Source organism: Homo sapiens, chromosome 3 (genome assembly GCF_000001405.40).
Source record: "Homo sapiens chromosome 3, GRCh38.p14 Primary Assembly".
Taxonomy (NCBI): domain Eukaryota; kingdom Metazoa; phylum Chordata; class Mammalia; order Primates; family Hominidae; genus Homo; species Homo sapiens.
The window spans coordinates 133,688,785-133,705,574 of record NC_000003.12 but is presented as its reverse complement, the minus strand read 5'-3'; the positions used below and the strand labels follow the sequence as shown (position 1 = coordinate 133,705,574).

General features: G+C 44.5%; 1 protein-coding gene and 1 pseudogene across 1 annotated transcript in view; both read right to left on the bottom strand.

The window, feature by feature from the left end:
• INHCAP (inhibitor of carbonic anhydrase pseudogene) overlaps positions 1-4,697 on the bottom strand; it is an 8,805-nt pseudogene extending 4,108 nt beyond the window's left edge.
• TF (transferrin) overlaps positions 1-16,790 on the bottom strand; it is a 134,644-nt gene that overhangs the window by 91,067 nt on the left and 26,787 nt on the right. Inside the window, exon 3 of the mRNA NM_001354703.2 lies at positions 4,522-4,693. The gene's annotated coding sequence lies outside the window, so the exon portion shown is untranslated. The remainder of the gene's footprint in view (positions 1-4,521; positions 4,694-16,790) is intronic.

Below are 16,790 nucleotides of genomic sequence, written 5' to 3'. Positions count from 1 at the left end.
TGCTCTTTCCTATTTGAAGATAGGTTCCATCCCAAAATCTCCCCAGTACTCTAGCAGATGCAGGCAAAGAAAGTGGAGGTGCTCATTGAAGGGAAAGAGAGGGAGAGGTCATATCCCTTTGCATTAGCTGTGTAATAAGTCATCCTGATATCTTTCTTCCCTTCAGAGTCTTAGACTGTGGTAGGCAATCATTATTTTTGCTATACGGGAGGGAAAGAACCCAGTCCAGGGAGTCAGAAAGATCTGGATTCAGTCTTTATTCTACAATGGAAACATCATTTATCCTTTTTTTTTTTTTTTGAGATGGAGTTTTGCTGTTGTTGCCCAGGCTGGAGTGCAATGGCACGATCTCAGCTCACTGCAACCTCTGCCTCCCAGGTTCAAGCGATTCTCCTGCCTCAGCCTCCCTGTAGCTGGGATTACAGGCACCTGCTGCCATGCCCTGCTAATTTTTGTATTTTTAGTAGAGACAGGGTTTCGCCATGTTGGCCAGGCTGGTCTCGAACTCCTGACCTCACGTGATCCACCCACCTCAGTGTCCCAAAGTGCTGGGATTACAGGTGTGAGCCACCACGCCCGACCCATCACTTATCTTTTCTAAGCCTCAGTTTTTACAGCTATAAAATGGAGATACCACTATTTACCTCACAGAGTCGTTTTGTTTTGAAAGATAATGTAGCAGATGAGGTGTAATCAATGATATTAGGGAAACCCTCTTTTACACCAGCTTCATTTTTCCATGTGGATGGATCCCCACTAAAGAACATGACCTTGCAGCCCCACCTTCTCAACCACCCAGTGCATCTGGGTGAAGGATCATGAGCACATGTGGCTCAGCCCCTCTTTCTTTCTTGAAGACAATGGGGAGAGAGTTGTTTGGGTCTTCTCACCTATGATAAAATGTGTTTCCCTTTGCCCTTAGTCTTGGCATAAGCCATCAGACCCATTTTCCTGAACTAGTGGGCAACTTTAAGGTAAGGGTGACTTGCAGCCCCGTGCCAGCTCTACATCACACACTCCAGTATCACAATCTCAGAAGTAAAGGTGTTATTTTGATCTCTTTCTGCCTGATTCCTTTGTCTATATCTTAATTGTTTCTGGCTCCAGGAGAGGGAGACTTTTTTTTTCTACTAGCTCCATACATTCCAACAATAGTTATTATCTCAACACTAAACTAAGTTATTTCCTCATCTTTCTATGCCCACAGCCCAGGGGAACTGTGGACAGAAAAAATGGAGACGGACACTCCCCTCCACTTACTGTAGTTCTCTGCCAGGACAGGCACCAGACCACATTTCCCTGCTATGTAGATGAATCCTGCATCCAAGCTCATGGCATCAGCTTCCCCTTTCTGAAGTTAAGAAACAAATCAATAGCACAATAGCTGTCTCCTGGGCCTCTGACCCTCAGAGGTTCTCATTTCACTGGCTTCATGTAAACATCCTTGTGATTAACCAATTGTGGATCACTCAAAGCTTCTGCCATGTAAACACAGGGTTTAGAAAACTGGACATGCTCTTGGCCTGTTGACCTGGGAACAAGTTCCAACCCAGGTCATGCCCCCTGGACATCTCTGTGTCCTCTGATGAGACCCATGCTGCGTCCTGGATATGACCTCACCACCCCTTCTTTGTGGCTATAGTCACTCAACCCAGCAATTAACATGGCCAGACTCAGGAAATGCATTTAACCTGTTTCTATGGGATATGTTTCTTCCAGATAATGGAGTTCAAATCTGTTCCCATAATCCCACTAGCACTGTACTCAGTGCCTGGCACAACAAAGATTTTCAATAAATAATTCATTTCTCTAGATAATACACTAATAATTCACTTATTATTTTAATCAATTAATTTTTCTAATAGAGTAAAAAATGTATACTTATAGATAAGGTCACCAAGATAAAAACATGCATATACATGCTCTTTGTTTTTGACCTTTTCACTACCCTTCTAGAAATCTAAAAACAGTGACTACAGCAGCAAAAACTTACCAAGCCTTATTATGTGCCAGGCTCCTTTCTAAACACTTCACAGTGATTACCTCATATATTCCTCACAAACTTCAATAAGCTAGATACTAGAATTTCCCCTCTTTTATAAATGAAAGCAGAAAGGTTAAATTTGTCCAATCAACAGCGGCTAAGACTTAAACCTAGGCAATTTAATTCCTTGTAACCACTATTCCAGATGGCCTCCAAGATCTGTCTACCCTAAAGCACGTTTCCCTCAATACTATGCTATTTACATGTTTTCATCCATAAGTTGGGTAAAAATTATACCCTATAGGTTTATCATGAAGACTAAATGAGTAATACAGTTTAAGAGCTCATAAACATGCTTGTCACACAGTAACTCCAGAAAAATTAGTTACCATTAATATTAAAGATATACTCAGAAATATAGGCATTTATAGATACAAAGATTTTTCAATCCCACATTGTCTATAATAGCAAAGGATTTGGAAATAACTCAAATATAAACACTGAGAAACTGGTTAAATGGAGGCTAACATACTTGGTGGAATATTACATAGCCATTATTTAAATGAGTGTTTCATTATTTAAGAAAATATACCAACTGTCCCTGGGATTTTGAATAATAATAACAGCTAACACTTAGTTACTGCTAACTATATGCCAGGCAATGTTATATGTACTGAGATTTACTTAATCCTTACAATTGACACATTTAGTAGACTACATAACCATCAAGATCTTAATCTTAGGAATTGGTGCTAGGAAGGTTTACCAAGATGAGGGTCTTCTCAAGTTAAACAAAACAAAATGAAATGGTTGCATAGCCTTCTAAGTTTGTCAAATTTTCATTCTTTATTTATAAGTTTATTTTTTCCTAATCACAAAAATAGTTCTGCTCATAAAGTTAATAACAACACAATTTCATCGCTCAGAGATCATAATAAATAAAATAAATAAAATCATTCACAACTTCGTCACTCAGAGATCATCATCACATAATCTCTGAGTGATGAAGTTGTGAATGATTTTATTTTTACTTTCTGATTTTTTTAGAGACAGGGTCTTGCTCTGTCACCCAGGCTAGAGTGCAATGGTGTGACCATGGCTCACTGCAGCCCTATTTTTATTTATTTATTGTAATATTTTATAACCAGAAAAAATAAACTTACAATTAAAGGATTGAAAAGGTTGATCTGCTTTCACAATTCACAGTAGCCCTGACCATAGCCCGGAATGTCACCCTACTTCCTGGGACTCCTAGGCAAGACACTCCCCTGAGCTAACTGGACTCCAGAGCTGAGCCCCCCAGGAGTCCAGCTCTTGGATTGGCTCTGTGTTTCTGCCCTGCCCAGAGCTGGAGGGGCCTGTGGGGTGGGTGGGAGGCAGCACACAACAGGTGTCCTTATCCTGGAGGCTGAGGAAGAGGCATTTGGGAAGGAGAGCTTCAATGCCAGATTTGGCAGAAGTGCTGTGTGTCTGAGTGTCTGAGCCCAGCCTTAAAAGCAGGGCCCTCCAACTGTGATGGCAGTGATGCAGTCCTCTGGGGTCTCCTCCATGGTGCACGCCAAGGCACCACCAGTCACAGCACTCCACTCATCACACTTGGCCCTCTCATGGTGGCCCACTGCGCACCACCGCACCCTGGGGAGTCTTCCACATCTAGGCCGGGTGGAGGGATCCAAAGGAAGCCCCAGGTAGGTCTGGGAGCTTAGCGCTGCAGAGTGGCTGTCCAACAAGGCCTTCACTGGCAGCAGCAGAGCTGACATGTCTCATTCCCATGACACTGCTAATTCCTGCCTGTCACCCTCCAGGAGAAATGGGGAACTCACTTCTCAGAAAAATCAATCAGTGAAGACAGAGCTTCCCCCTGCTCCTGACCTCAGCTCCTCAGGCATCACCTCCCCAGGGAGGCCTCTCTGAGCACCAGCCCAGCTCAGGGTCTTCTGGGGTTTTCTCTTGCAAGACTGGGCTCCCCATCCAGGAAGCATGTCCCACTTGGCAGTCACGAGTTCTGTTCTGGGTGGGCCTGCTTGCTCTCCCCTCACCCAGTGTCTTTGCTCACCACCATATGCCCACGTCTAACACAGTGGCTGCCCTTCTGTAGATGCAAATACCTACTGGTTGACTAAATGGAGGGCAAAGCTAGAAGAAGGAAAGAAGGAAGAAATAAACCATAGAGATCCAGTAGATGGCCAGACCAGAAACCTCTGGATGGTGGTAGTGGCCACATTCCCACTTCAGTTTAAGATGGACTATTTTTATACTCCATGTCGAATAGACTCACCCTGGGTGGGATGACCCCACCTAATAAAAAGGAGCCAGGGCAATCATGTCTTCAAGTTTTCTAGAATATGAAGGCCATTAAAGCCACTTTCTAATCACAGAAAACCCCCTCATTAACCCAATGCAGTTAGTAGCTCCCTTGGGCTCTGCAGGCCAATAAACTTTGGGTGAAGCTTGCAGGCACCTGGAAAGCCTCCCATGATGGCCCCACCCCACCCTGCTGCCCAAGCTGGCCAGGTCCCTCCCGGGACCTTACATACCTCTTTTTGGATCCTGAGTCGCGGAAAAATACTCATATCCCAGGTACAGCTTGGCATCTATCTTAGGTGGGACCATTAAAAACCCATGGGCAGCATCAGTAAACAGCAGATCTGTCTCATGAGGAGAGCCAAAGAGCTGAAATTCTGACGACTTGTCTTTTCCAAAATGTTCCTGTTCAAAGGACAAAAGAGATGGTGAAGGAAGAAGGACGGCATAGAGGTAAAGGTAAAACAAACCCCAAAACAGACAAGGGAAACAGAAAGCAAGATATGAGTGTCTGAGGGTGAAGATGGTGGCCAAGCTCCCCAGCATCCCTGGCTCATGGTGAGGGAAAGCTCTCCTCAGATCCCAGCTTGTCTGCCTGGTGTGGCCTCGGGGAAATTGCCAGGGGCCACCCCCCAGATCCATCCCTTTCCACTGTGGGCTGAGGCTCTGTGTTCCCATGGGGCAGTTCAGCAAAGGCTGCCTCACCCTCAAGCCATCTGATCACCCTAAGCACCCGTGGCGGTCTCCATCCTAAAGAGGCTGGTGATCCAGCACCATGGGCTGCAATCAGACTTCCTGAGCTCCTCTTCTCCCCACGCCAAGCCTGCCACTGAAGGACCAGCTGTGGGACACCAAACGGTTCCTTCCCCTTTCTGGCCTCCAAAAACCAAAGGGCTCTTTGCCTATGACTCCGGTTGACTGGCCCAAAGCCACTCCTGACATAGCTCACAGCAGCACCTACCGACGTGCTCTTTCAAATGGCTGGCTGGTGTTTGCTTTTGCAGTGACTCTACATGAAATGCCACCTGCTGCCCTCCCTGACAACCCCCACCCCCCACCTCCTTAGGATGCACACAGTTACTCCCCAGGGCCCAGGAACTTTCCCAGATACATCCTGCAAATCAGTCCCTTTGTCCTCCATAAAGGACGCCATCCATGTCCATGAGGTAGTCCAATTCCATCAGGTAAGAATCCATACTCGTGTGCCTCCCACACTCATCTGTGAATGACTCAAGACAAGTCTTTGCCAAGTTCATCTCTGAGTCCCCCAGTGCTAAGGAGAGAGCGTTGGCAGAGTTGTCAGGAGGGCAGGATCACATGCCATGGGATGACAGGGGAGGACTTTGTGGAGGAAGAGGGTCATGTGAACTCATCCTGAGGACCTGTTTAGAATGAAAAATAATTAAATGGGACAAGAAGAACTTCTGCAGAGAGTCTTCAGTCCACCAGGTTCGTGGTTCCAGATGAGGTTTTATTCCTCTGCTGTATATAACACATATAGACTGAGCGGCTTGTCAGTGAAGAGGATCACATGTGGCATGGCTCCCACTGTACCCTGAACATACCAGGACTTCCAGAATGACAAGAAGGCAAGGAAGTTAACCTCCCTCCAAATCCAAGCAGGGAGCACTAAGCCAGAGGGGAAGATGGCAGGTGGGGATACCTGGACCTGGTTGAGAAGCTTCTAGATCAAGTCCTCCTTGCCACCCACACTTCAGGCCATGACAGTATGAGAAAGGACCCAGGCCAAATGGCAGTCCTTGTATCCAACTACCAGCTTCTGGGTGTTGTTCAGGCAAAGCAGCTCATACTGGTCCTTGTCAGCCTTGTTTGCCAGGTTCTCTGGGGAGGGAAAGCCCAGGTGAGCCTAACGCAGGAGAGCCATGAGCCATAGTTAGGATGACCCATGCCCCTCACCGAACCATCAAATATGTGGCCTGAAGAGGACTGAGGGAGAATTTTTTTCCAAAAACATTTTATACAGATAAGGACTAGAGGCCTCAGGAGTGAAACAGCTGGTTCACAATCTCACTGCAGGTAGACACAGGGCTGGGCAGTGTGCCTGGCCCAGGGCCCTCCAACTGCCTGGCTCTGCTAATAGGAATGGTGACAGCAAATGTGTAATGTGCACTCATAGCTCATCAAAGACTTGCTGAAGGCTCTCCAGGCTCTGTTGCATTTAATCCTCACAACAACTTGGAGAGGCCAGTAATATGATTATCTCATTCTACAGATGAAGAAACTGAGACTCAGAGACTTAAGGTAACTAGTCTGGGGCTGACGCATTACCATGCCAAGATGGCCCAGGTCCCCCACTAAAGGGGCCACATTCCCTTTGATGCAGAGCCTGCTGGGAAAAGGTGAGAGGGTTGAGAGATGGAAGGAGGTCTAGGGGCCCAGTCAGGGTAACCTGCAGGTACAAAGATGAACCAGAAAGACCCTATGAGTAAAACAGCCTCTTTGATTCCATTGTCTAGGTATTGAAAAGTGTTGTGGGTTCAATAAATTCATATATTGAAGTCCTAATCCACATTACCTCAGAATGTGACCTTATTTGGAAATAGGGACCTTGAAAATGTAATTAGTTAAGATGCGGTCACACTGGGATAGGGTGGACCCCTAATCCAAAAAGACTGGTGTCCTCATGAAAAGGGGGAGTTTGGACACAGAAGACATGCACACAGGCCATGTGAACATAAAGGCAGAGATTGGAGTGATGTGTCTGTGAGTCAAGCAACACCAAAGATCAGCAGCAAACCACCAGAAGCGAGGACAGTGGCCTGGAACAGATTCTCCTCACAGCTCTCAGGAGGACCCAACCCTGCCAACATCATGATCTTGGAATTCTAGCCTCCAGAGGTACCAGACAAGATATTTATGTTGCTTAAACCACCCAGTTCATGGTACTTTGCTACAGCAGTCCTAGAAAACGAATACAGATGTGTTACTGGATGGAAAGTCTTGACTGTGAGTTGTCCAGGTTCTTGGCACATTGAACAAAGAATTGAAGAAAATGCACAAATAAAGCAACAACAGAATGAAGCAATGAAAGAAGCAATGAAAGTGCAGATTGATTGAAGTGAAAGTACACTCTACAGAGTGGGAGCAGGCTCCAGCGAGCAGCTCAAGAGCCTTGATCACAGTGTTCTTTAGGGTTTTTATTAAGCAAAAAGAATTTGGTAACACCCCAGGTGCTGTTTAGAGGCCTCCAGCTGGTTATACCCTATGAAGGACTGGCCCATGGCCAATTAGAGGCTGAAGTGGAGACAGTCTTGTTATCACAGGAGTGAGGATGTGGCCTATATGCTGCCTAATCTTGCCTAGAACTAACTGACTACACCTGCTGCCCTATTGCTTATGCCTTAACTCTTGATTACCCTATATCCCTATTCTCCTGCATCAGATGGTCTTTGGGGTTGATAAAATCTCAAACTGAAAGAGAAAGAGTGTTATCAGGGCTGCTGTGAGTGGTTACAATTTTAATTTAGTATTTTCTCTAGAAAATACGTTTTAAATCTTTACATTAAAAGAAAAATTTCAAAATGATTTAGTAATGTTAGAATTAAATTTAGAGAATCAATATGACCTAATGGCCTCAGAAATAAATCACTTTTCCACCTTGGCCACTCAAAGGCCCAGGGGGGCAGCAGCAGCCCAGGGCTCTCCACCCCCACTCATTGTCATAGTCTCATGACATTCTCCTACCAGGCAAGAAGAGATCTTACAAAATAGCACACAAGTGACTTTGGGCAAAGGTAAATCAAGATGGTCTGGGACAATCTGTCGTTTCCATAAAGTGAGGATGTTTTCAAATACTTCAGGGGGAGATAGAAGATGCTGCCACTATCATTAAGTGTGGTAACCTGAGCATCCAAAGGACATAATAATTATTTGAAACAACTTGATGAGACCCATAGATGACCCCACTAATTAAAATTGTGGATAATAAGACATGCATCAATTGCCAAAATGCTAACAAACCAGTGTAATAATGAGTAATAATTGTAGTCAATGTGTAATAATAATAATTTGATGAGACCCATAGGTGACCCCACTAATTAAAATTGTGGATAATAAGACATGCATCAATTGCCAAAATGCTAACAAACCAGTGCAATAATGAGTAATAATTATAGTCAATGTGTAATAATGAGGAGACAGTGAATTGTGAATAACTGAACAAGGGAACAAAGGACACTGAAGTCAATTTCATGTTAGGAAAGACATTAAGTTGTAAGGAACTGGGACCCATGTAAAAAGCGATGATCTAAAATTCTCCTCAAGTAGCAGACATTATAAAAATGAGCTTAGCACAGTGAATATATACATGTATTTCAAATGTTTTGAATGTTCTGTATCTGATAGAAATTTAATTTGTTATAAGACCCAGAATCTGGAAACTCAATTAGTCTGAAATATTTTGTTTGTTTGTGGTAAACTGTCCAAAATTCTGAAAAAGTTTGGGTTTTTTTCATAAATGTAAAAAAAAAAAAGAAGAAGAAGTACACTTTTGTCCATGGCAATAATGCTTTTGAAACAGATTTAAATGCAGATGTGCTAATAAGTTCTGAAATATTTACAATAATTTGTATGTTTTGCTTAAGGTGCCTGAAGCAGTTGAGAGACATTTATAATGAAATGTTCAGGAGAATGTGATTAAATTTGAAATTTCAATGACTAAGAGAATTGATTATTACAACTTGTTTTATTAGATGGTAAGTATTGTTTAAATGTTCATAAAATTTGTTTAGTAGATTTATAGATGAATCAAACTGAGCACTAAAGAAAGAACAAATACAGCAGAGTCCCACCTTATTCAAGGGGGATATGTTCTAAGACCCACAGTGGATGCCGGAAATCACGGATAGTACCAAACCCTAATATAGTATTTTTTTCTATACTACATACTTATGATAAAGTCTGATTTATAAATTAGGCACAGTAAGAGATTAACAACAATAATTAATAAAAAAAGAACCATTTTTTTTTTTGAGACAGGGTCTTGCTCTGTCGCCCAGGCTGGAGGGCAGTGGCGTGATCATAGCTCGCTGTAGCCTCCAACTCCTGGTTGGAGGCTTAAGCGATTCTCCTGCCTCACCCTCCCAAAGTGCTGAGATTACAGGCATGAGTCACTCTGCCCAGCCAAAATTGAACAATTATAACAATATGCTGTAATAAAAGTTAAGTGAATATGGCCTCTCTCTCTCTCAAAATATCTTCTTATACCATACTCACCCTTCTTGTGAAGGCACTGCTACATAAACGGGAAGTGCCAGGAATAAGCAATTCACAAGTGTTACATTGCTTGCTGTTCTGATAGTGTGATAGAATTTCGCACTGTTCTGCTCTGTCCCTCCCAGGTTGTGAATCCTCCCTTTGTCAATGCTGTATCCACTCTGTCTACGTTACCTACCTGTTAGTTACTTAGTAGCCTTCTCAGTGATCAGATCCACAGCTGTGGTATCAAAGGGCTTGTGTTCCAGTAACTCTTATTTTACTTAGTAATGGCCCCAAGGTGCAAGAGTAGTGATGTAATATTTTTGCACCTTGGTTGGCCACAAGTCCAACTGTGTTAAAGTGATACTGTGGATAAGGGGGAATTACTGTAAAAGAAATGCTTACATAGAAACTCTCCTGTGGCATTAATGAGCTTCACCCATCTCTAGATATAAGGCAACTTGAGTTTCCAGATTCTGGGTCTTATAACAAATTAAATTTCTATCAGATATAAGGCAACTTATATCTAGAGATGGTGGCTCACGCCTGTAATCCCAGCACTTTGGGAGACAAAAGTGGGTGGATCACGAGGTCAAGAGATCAAGACCATTCTGGGCAACATGGTGAAACCCTCTCTCTGCTAAAAATACAAAAATTAGCTGGGTGTAGTGGCATGTGCCTGTAGTCCCAGCTACTCGGGAGGCTAAGGCAGGAGAATCGCTTGAACCCAGGAGGCGGAGGTTGCAGTAAGCCGAGATCATGCCACTGCACTCCAGCCTGGTGACAGAGGGAGACTCCATCTCAAAAAAAAAAAAAAAAAAAAAGAACCAGCTCCTCTGGCTAGGGTGGGGTCCACACCATCCTTCAGACACATGACAGGAGAGCCACAGTCAGGCACAGGCCTCACTTCTCCCCCATGCAGCCCCTCTGAGGGTCAGCCCGGACTGCTGGCTAACAGGGCTTTGCCCAGAGTTCCTGAGTATCAGTCTTTCCTCACAGAGGTGACGGCTTTGTCTGAAGGGCCTTTGAACCCCACAGCGAAGCCCAGGCCAAAAGCAGCCAGGAGCCCTGGCAGTCACCAAACCAGACAACTCTGAGGAGGCAGGATGGGAAAGAAGGATCCTCATTTTCCTCTTAGAAAGCAGCCAAAAGCAACAGGTTTAAATGAAAATAATAATAATAATAAATAAATAAATAAATAAATAAATAAATAAATAAAACTAAAGGCTTAAAGCCTTTACATGGAGACTAATAACTTTGGATAGCCTTGGAGTAGTAGCTATTTCTCTTATGGAGCATGGAGTGTGCAGAAGTGCCTGCAAGGGGGCTGAGAGGGAGATGGGGCGAGGTACGCACAAGAAGCAGCTCAGCAGAAAGTTGTGAGCTGGGAGGTCCTGACCTTTGGCCCTGCCAAAAGCCCAGACCTGTGTCTGTAGATCTCAGAGTCCTAGACATGAGTCTGTCTCCCTAGCATTCCCTTGTCTAGGAGGGTAACATGGGCAAACCCCAAGCTCTGGGGAGGCCAGGGCTCCCACACAGAAGAGTGCTCTGTGGATGGTTAGGAGCAAGGCTTGGCCATGGGAGGCACCTGGGACCCCAGATTTCTCACTGATGCTCTAGGTGGCCTGGGGTGGGCCCTGTTCGCTCTCTGTGCCTTTGTCTCCCCAACATCAGGCTGAGGAGGAGGAGCAGTGGGGTCTCACTCACTTAAGGCTCCCGCGTAGCCAAAGTACGATTCTTGGGAGGAGCAGGCACACTTGTCTGTCCCTTTCCCTGCACACAGTTGACACAGGCGAGGGAAATTCTTCATGTCCTCACAGGGGACGCAGCTGCTGGAGAAGAACTTGGCCGCTGCTGCTCAACACAGAGACATGGACCCCAGGGCATGAGCTGGCTGGGACCTCCAGGTCGTACATGTGTGCGAGAGAGTGGCCCTCACTGAGAGCCCATGCATCTGCACACACCTCCCAGGACTGGCTGAGGAAGTGGGTGTGCAGGGGCCAGCCAGTGCAGCCTGCTGGAGGTGGCTGGCAATGCCCATGCCGGAGGGAGTGTGTGGCCCAGGGTCCCTGCGGGTTTAGGCATCACACTGATGGGGTGATGGAACCCACAGGAATGTTCCCCAGCTTGTCCGCTGCAGGGTGTGAGAGCCACTGACCTACACTGAACTAAGACTTCAGTCCCAGTGGCACGCAGCTCTGCTAATTCACCCACACGGAGGCTGGAAGGGGCCAGGCTGAACTCTAAACACAGCAGGAACACTTGCACATCAGCCAAACCCAAATAGTCCTTCTTTACCTCAGGAAACACCTTCCCCTCAACCTCCCCTTGTGTATCCAGAGGCTGTGGTAGTTCATGGGATATGCCTTCTGGAAAAGTTGGGACAGCTTGTCGAGGAGGGGGTAGGAGGTGGGCTACCAGCCACTGCACAGCTGCCCAGATGGGTGTCCAGTAGCACCTGACACTGAGGCAAGTGATCACTCCCAGAAAGGGCAAAGCATGGCCAGAGCTGCGATCCAGGCTGTAGCCCTTCTCAGGTCCCTGCAGTCACTTGTCCCTGTCACAGTCAGACATCAACACTGCAGAGGTTGGCCGGACTCAAAAAGATGTACTTTTGCAGAGTTCAAAAAGATCTGGCCATCATTATTCAAGGGCTGAAAAATCACCCTAGCCTTACTGTGCCTCAACATAACTGAACAGGGAGCCTGGAGAACACAAAAAATCCTAGTGCCAGCCCAGTCACCCTTTCCTTGCCCATGTCCCAAGCCCTCACCTAAGGCATGTAGGCCTGGGTGCCAATAGTGTGTCTAGAATCCCCAATGAGCCTTTCTGGGAAGCTGGGAGGGAGGTGGCTTTTCTTAGAGGGCCTCAGTGATGGCCCTTGTCAAGCCAAGCGACTAGGGATAAGGAGGAAGGTGGGACTGACACCTTTCCTCAGAGAAGACTCAGCTGCCAGCTCCCAGGAGTTGCTGGTGCACACACCCAGCCAGTGCATATTTAAAGCAGGTTACCCTCACTCCATCTTGGAGGCCGTGGACACATACACTTCACAATGACAGTGTGACTCCAGCACAGCCCATGCGGGTGACCAGTGCAGGAGCCCTGCCTGGGCACACCCAGCCCCAGCTGGCTCATCGGTTTCAAGGGAGCTAGGGGGAAGCAGTGTCCTGATGGGGATGTTCTATCCAGCAGACCAGCCCAGGCCCATGTGGCAGGACTTCTTGCCTTGGAGCTGGCTCAGCTGGAAGTTGGTGCTCTCTTCACCATGGCAATGACATAATGGTGGGTTTGTGGATCTGCAAAGGAGCCGAGAGGAATAAGGGCCAAAGGAAGATGCCATATTGTCACTGATCTTCTGGAGCACGTACCATGCAGAACTCTGGGGATGCTAGGACCTCACCACCCCCCTGCAAGTGGGTAGAAAAAGAAAAAAAAAGCCCTTAATTGACAGGAGAGAGAACACCATCCCTTTTCAAGGCAATAAACACTAGTTCTTTTTTCTGCTAGTCCCTCCAAGCCAGTGGAGACAGGATCCTCAAGGGCACCAGCTATTAGGGCCTACTGAGTGGAGCGCACTTAGGGAGCGCTTCAGCACCCAGCCATCGTGATGTCACTGCTTCTTCCTGAGGGCTTTTCTCCTTTTCCCCCTTTCCCCAACAGCAGTTCTCCCTGCAGCTCAAACACGAAGTAAAGGTGTGAGAGGAGTCCCAGGAATATGCCAGGGCCCTGCAAGAGTCAGACTGAGGCCAGCTGTGCTCACACACACTGATGACACGATGACACTAATGGACAAGTATGGGAAAGAGGTAAAGCCTCATTCTTAGACTCCCCCAAACCTCTCCTCACCATAAATCCAGGCCCATGTTCTGTTGCCCAGGCAGGGTTAGCACAAGGAAGACGCAGTCAGGTCCTGTGTGTCTCCAGAGAGGGGCCTCCCATGGGTGAGACCCCACTGGGTGAGCAATGGACTCTGGATAGCACTCCCCTCTCAGGCTGGAGATACCCTACAGCCAGCAGCACCAGCGGAGTTTCTATCAAAATGTGCAAAGTTTGCAGTCGCCCAGGAAGAGCCACTTTCCCAGCCCTCAGGAGTTAGCATCAGAGACAGCCTCCTTCAATGCAAAGAGCTCCAGCAACTTTGTTCCCTACTAAGTGTAATGCTGACAGGGCCCCTGCCACCCACACCCATCATTGCTGCAGTGTCAGACCAGAGACACCAGTCCCCAGGGAGAACACACCATCTTTTGACCCATAGATTTCTACCACGATGGGCTTAAGGCTGTAGGGGGCCAGGCCTGCCTCAAACACTAAACCTCCATCAATGGTCACAGCATCTGCTTCATTTGCCTGAAAGAGAAGGGATCAAACCATGCATGATGCCCATCACTTCTGAGAAAGACTCCTCTAACCCTCTGCCAGAGACACTTGCTCAATAGACACTTGCATGACTCAAGCCTCCTTCACCTCCATTACATCACTGCTCAAATGTCATCTCCTCAGTGAGGCATTCCCTGACCACAGTCTTCAAACTACCATCTCGTGTATGCTGGATGCCACTTTGTTTTCCTTCTGAGCCTTATCAACCACGTGACAAACTCTGTTTATTGTTTGTCCTCCCCTTTGGAATGTAAGCTCCATGAAGGTGGAGGCATGTTTGTCTGTTCTATTCCCTACTCAATCCCAGCACCTAGAGGAGCACCTAGCACAGGTAGGTGTTCAATAAACATTTCTTGGGTACGTAAGTGAATGCATTGTAGAATATTTCCATCCATAAGAAGTCAGGTTTGGCACTCTCAAATGTGGATTCCCTTGGCAGGGATCTGTCAGCCAAAAGTTCCTTCCTTCAAGAAGCAAGCAACTTCACAGCCTCTTCTCCACAATGAGGTTGGATCATTTCCCTACCCATCATGGAAATCATTCTTTTTATTCATTTATTGACTGACATTTAAAGCAACTTGAGATTTTCTGAATTTACTATTATGTTTCTGTATGCCTCCCTTTTCCTCCATCCCACTTTTTCTTATAAATATTTTACAATATATATTCATATATATGTATGTATATTTGTATCTATGTGTGTGTGTATAAAGTTAGGACTCTAATTAAATGCATGCATCAGAAACTGACATAAATAACCTTAAGAAAAGGAGAGATTTAGTATACAGGTAAAAGGGCAAGAAGGCCGCTGGGCCTTGTGAACACCATCAAGATGAGAAGCAGCGAGAATTGACATGGGTTTCAGTCCGTCCCGTGGGCTCCAGCTCATGATTATGGCCTCCAGGTAGTTCTTGCCTTTTCCCACTTTACATACATCTTTCTTTCCTGACTGACTCCTCTGCAAACCCCAATAACAGATGCAAAAAGACAACAGTCTTATAGAGACTGCTTAACTAGCACCCACAACTGTATAAGGTCAAACTCCTCTAACATATCTCTCCCTCTCTCTTCCCATAAACACACATACACATACACACATTACAAAAATAGATGAAAATTTATGCACATCTTTATGACCCTTACTGAATATTTCTAAGTTGGTTTCCAGAAATGATATAGAAATGTATGATTTATAATGCCAATAGCAATGCGTACCAATTTCACTGCAAACCTACCAGTGAGAAGTGTTATCACTTTAGAAATGTCATTACATTACTAAATATAAACTGTTATTTTTAGAATGGTTTTATTTGAATTTCTTTGTTTATTAAAAGGGATGAACATTTTTCCTTTATTGTTAATATTCTTAGTTGTAATGTCTTTTCTGCAAATGGCTTGTTTATAGTTTTTTTATTCTTCAGCATTTCTTATAAGTTTAAATGACAACTTTATATAGTTTGTGGTTTTGTTATAGCTGATGTGATTTTTTTTTGGCATGCTTAGGGCTTTTTAAAAACATTTCTTTGTCATGGTTTAAAATTTTTTACATTTCCAAATTTGTCTACTTTTGTAATTTATCTAGTTATGTCTATGTCTTTTAATCAAGTTGAGTCAAGCTGGGAATTTATTTTGGTGAATGGATTAAGAAGCTCACTTGATTATTTTTCTGAATGGCTACCTAGTTGTCCAACTAAAGACTCCTTTCTCAGCCATTTGTTTGGCAAGTTTGCCTTATTATACTTATCTAAATCTAGTATACATGTATCAAAACACTACATTTACCCCATAAATATGTACAATTATTATTTGTCAAATAAAAATTCAATTTAATTTGATTTAAAGAACAAATCTACTTGTATCTTACCTAAATTTATTAAGCCTAGGACCCTCGTGCCCTAATGTCTATCACAGTTTGCATCTATATCATATCACGTAGATAATTAGGTAGTTGAATGGATATACAGAAAGCTGACAATGTATCTGAATTTTGTTCTCTTCTGGGTCTTCTATATATGTGCCAGTATCCTGTCCTGTGTATCACTGTTATTTAAATATGGTATAGTTTTAGGTAGGACTCAGCCACTCCCCTGCTACTTTTCTTTTTCATAATACAACTTTAAAATTTCATGCATGTACTTTTTCTCAAGAATTTTATAAATATTTTATTGATTCTTTTAAAAAGGCTGTATTTTGATTAAACTTTTACTAAATTTATGAGTTAACTTTGGGAGGGTATGCAAGTATGTGATATTTAGTCTTTCCATCTGGAAATACAGCATATGTTTTCATTTGTTAATAAATATTATTCACTTGTTACAGACTTCTATATTTTATTTATTTATTTGTTATTTTATTTATTTATTTATTTTGACGCAGAGTCTCGCTCCGTTGCCCAGGCTGGAGTGTAGTGGCACAATCTTGGCTCACTGCAACCTCTGCCTCCTGGGTTCTCCTGCCTCAGACTCCCAAGTAGCTGGGACTACAGGTGTGTGCCACCATGCCCGGCTAATTTTTGTATTTTTCTAAATGGCTAGAGATGGGGTGTCACCATGTTGGACAGGCTGGTCTTGAGCGCCTGACCTCAAGTGATCCACCCGTCTTGGCCTCCCAAAGTGCTGCGATTACAGGTGTGAGCCACCACACCCAGCCTATATTATACTAGTAAAAGCCTTGCAGATCTCTCATATAATATTTTTCCAGAAATAATTTTCTTTTTATTATTTTAAATGTAAATGAGATAACAATTTTGGGATTTTTTTCACAATTAACAATTGTTGGTATATGAAAATGACTTTGTGATACATTTATCTTTTGCCAAACTAATGTATTCATTAATAAATAATTATAGCAACATTTCTCTTGATTCTACTGTATTTTCTAGGCATTCCACCATCTGAAAATATTGGTG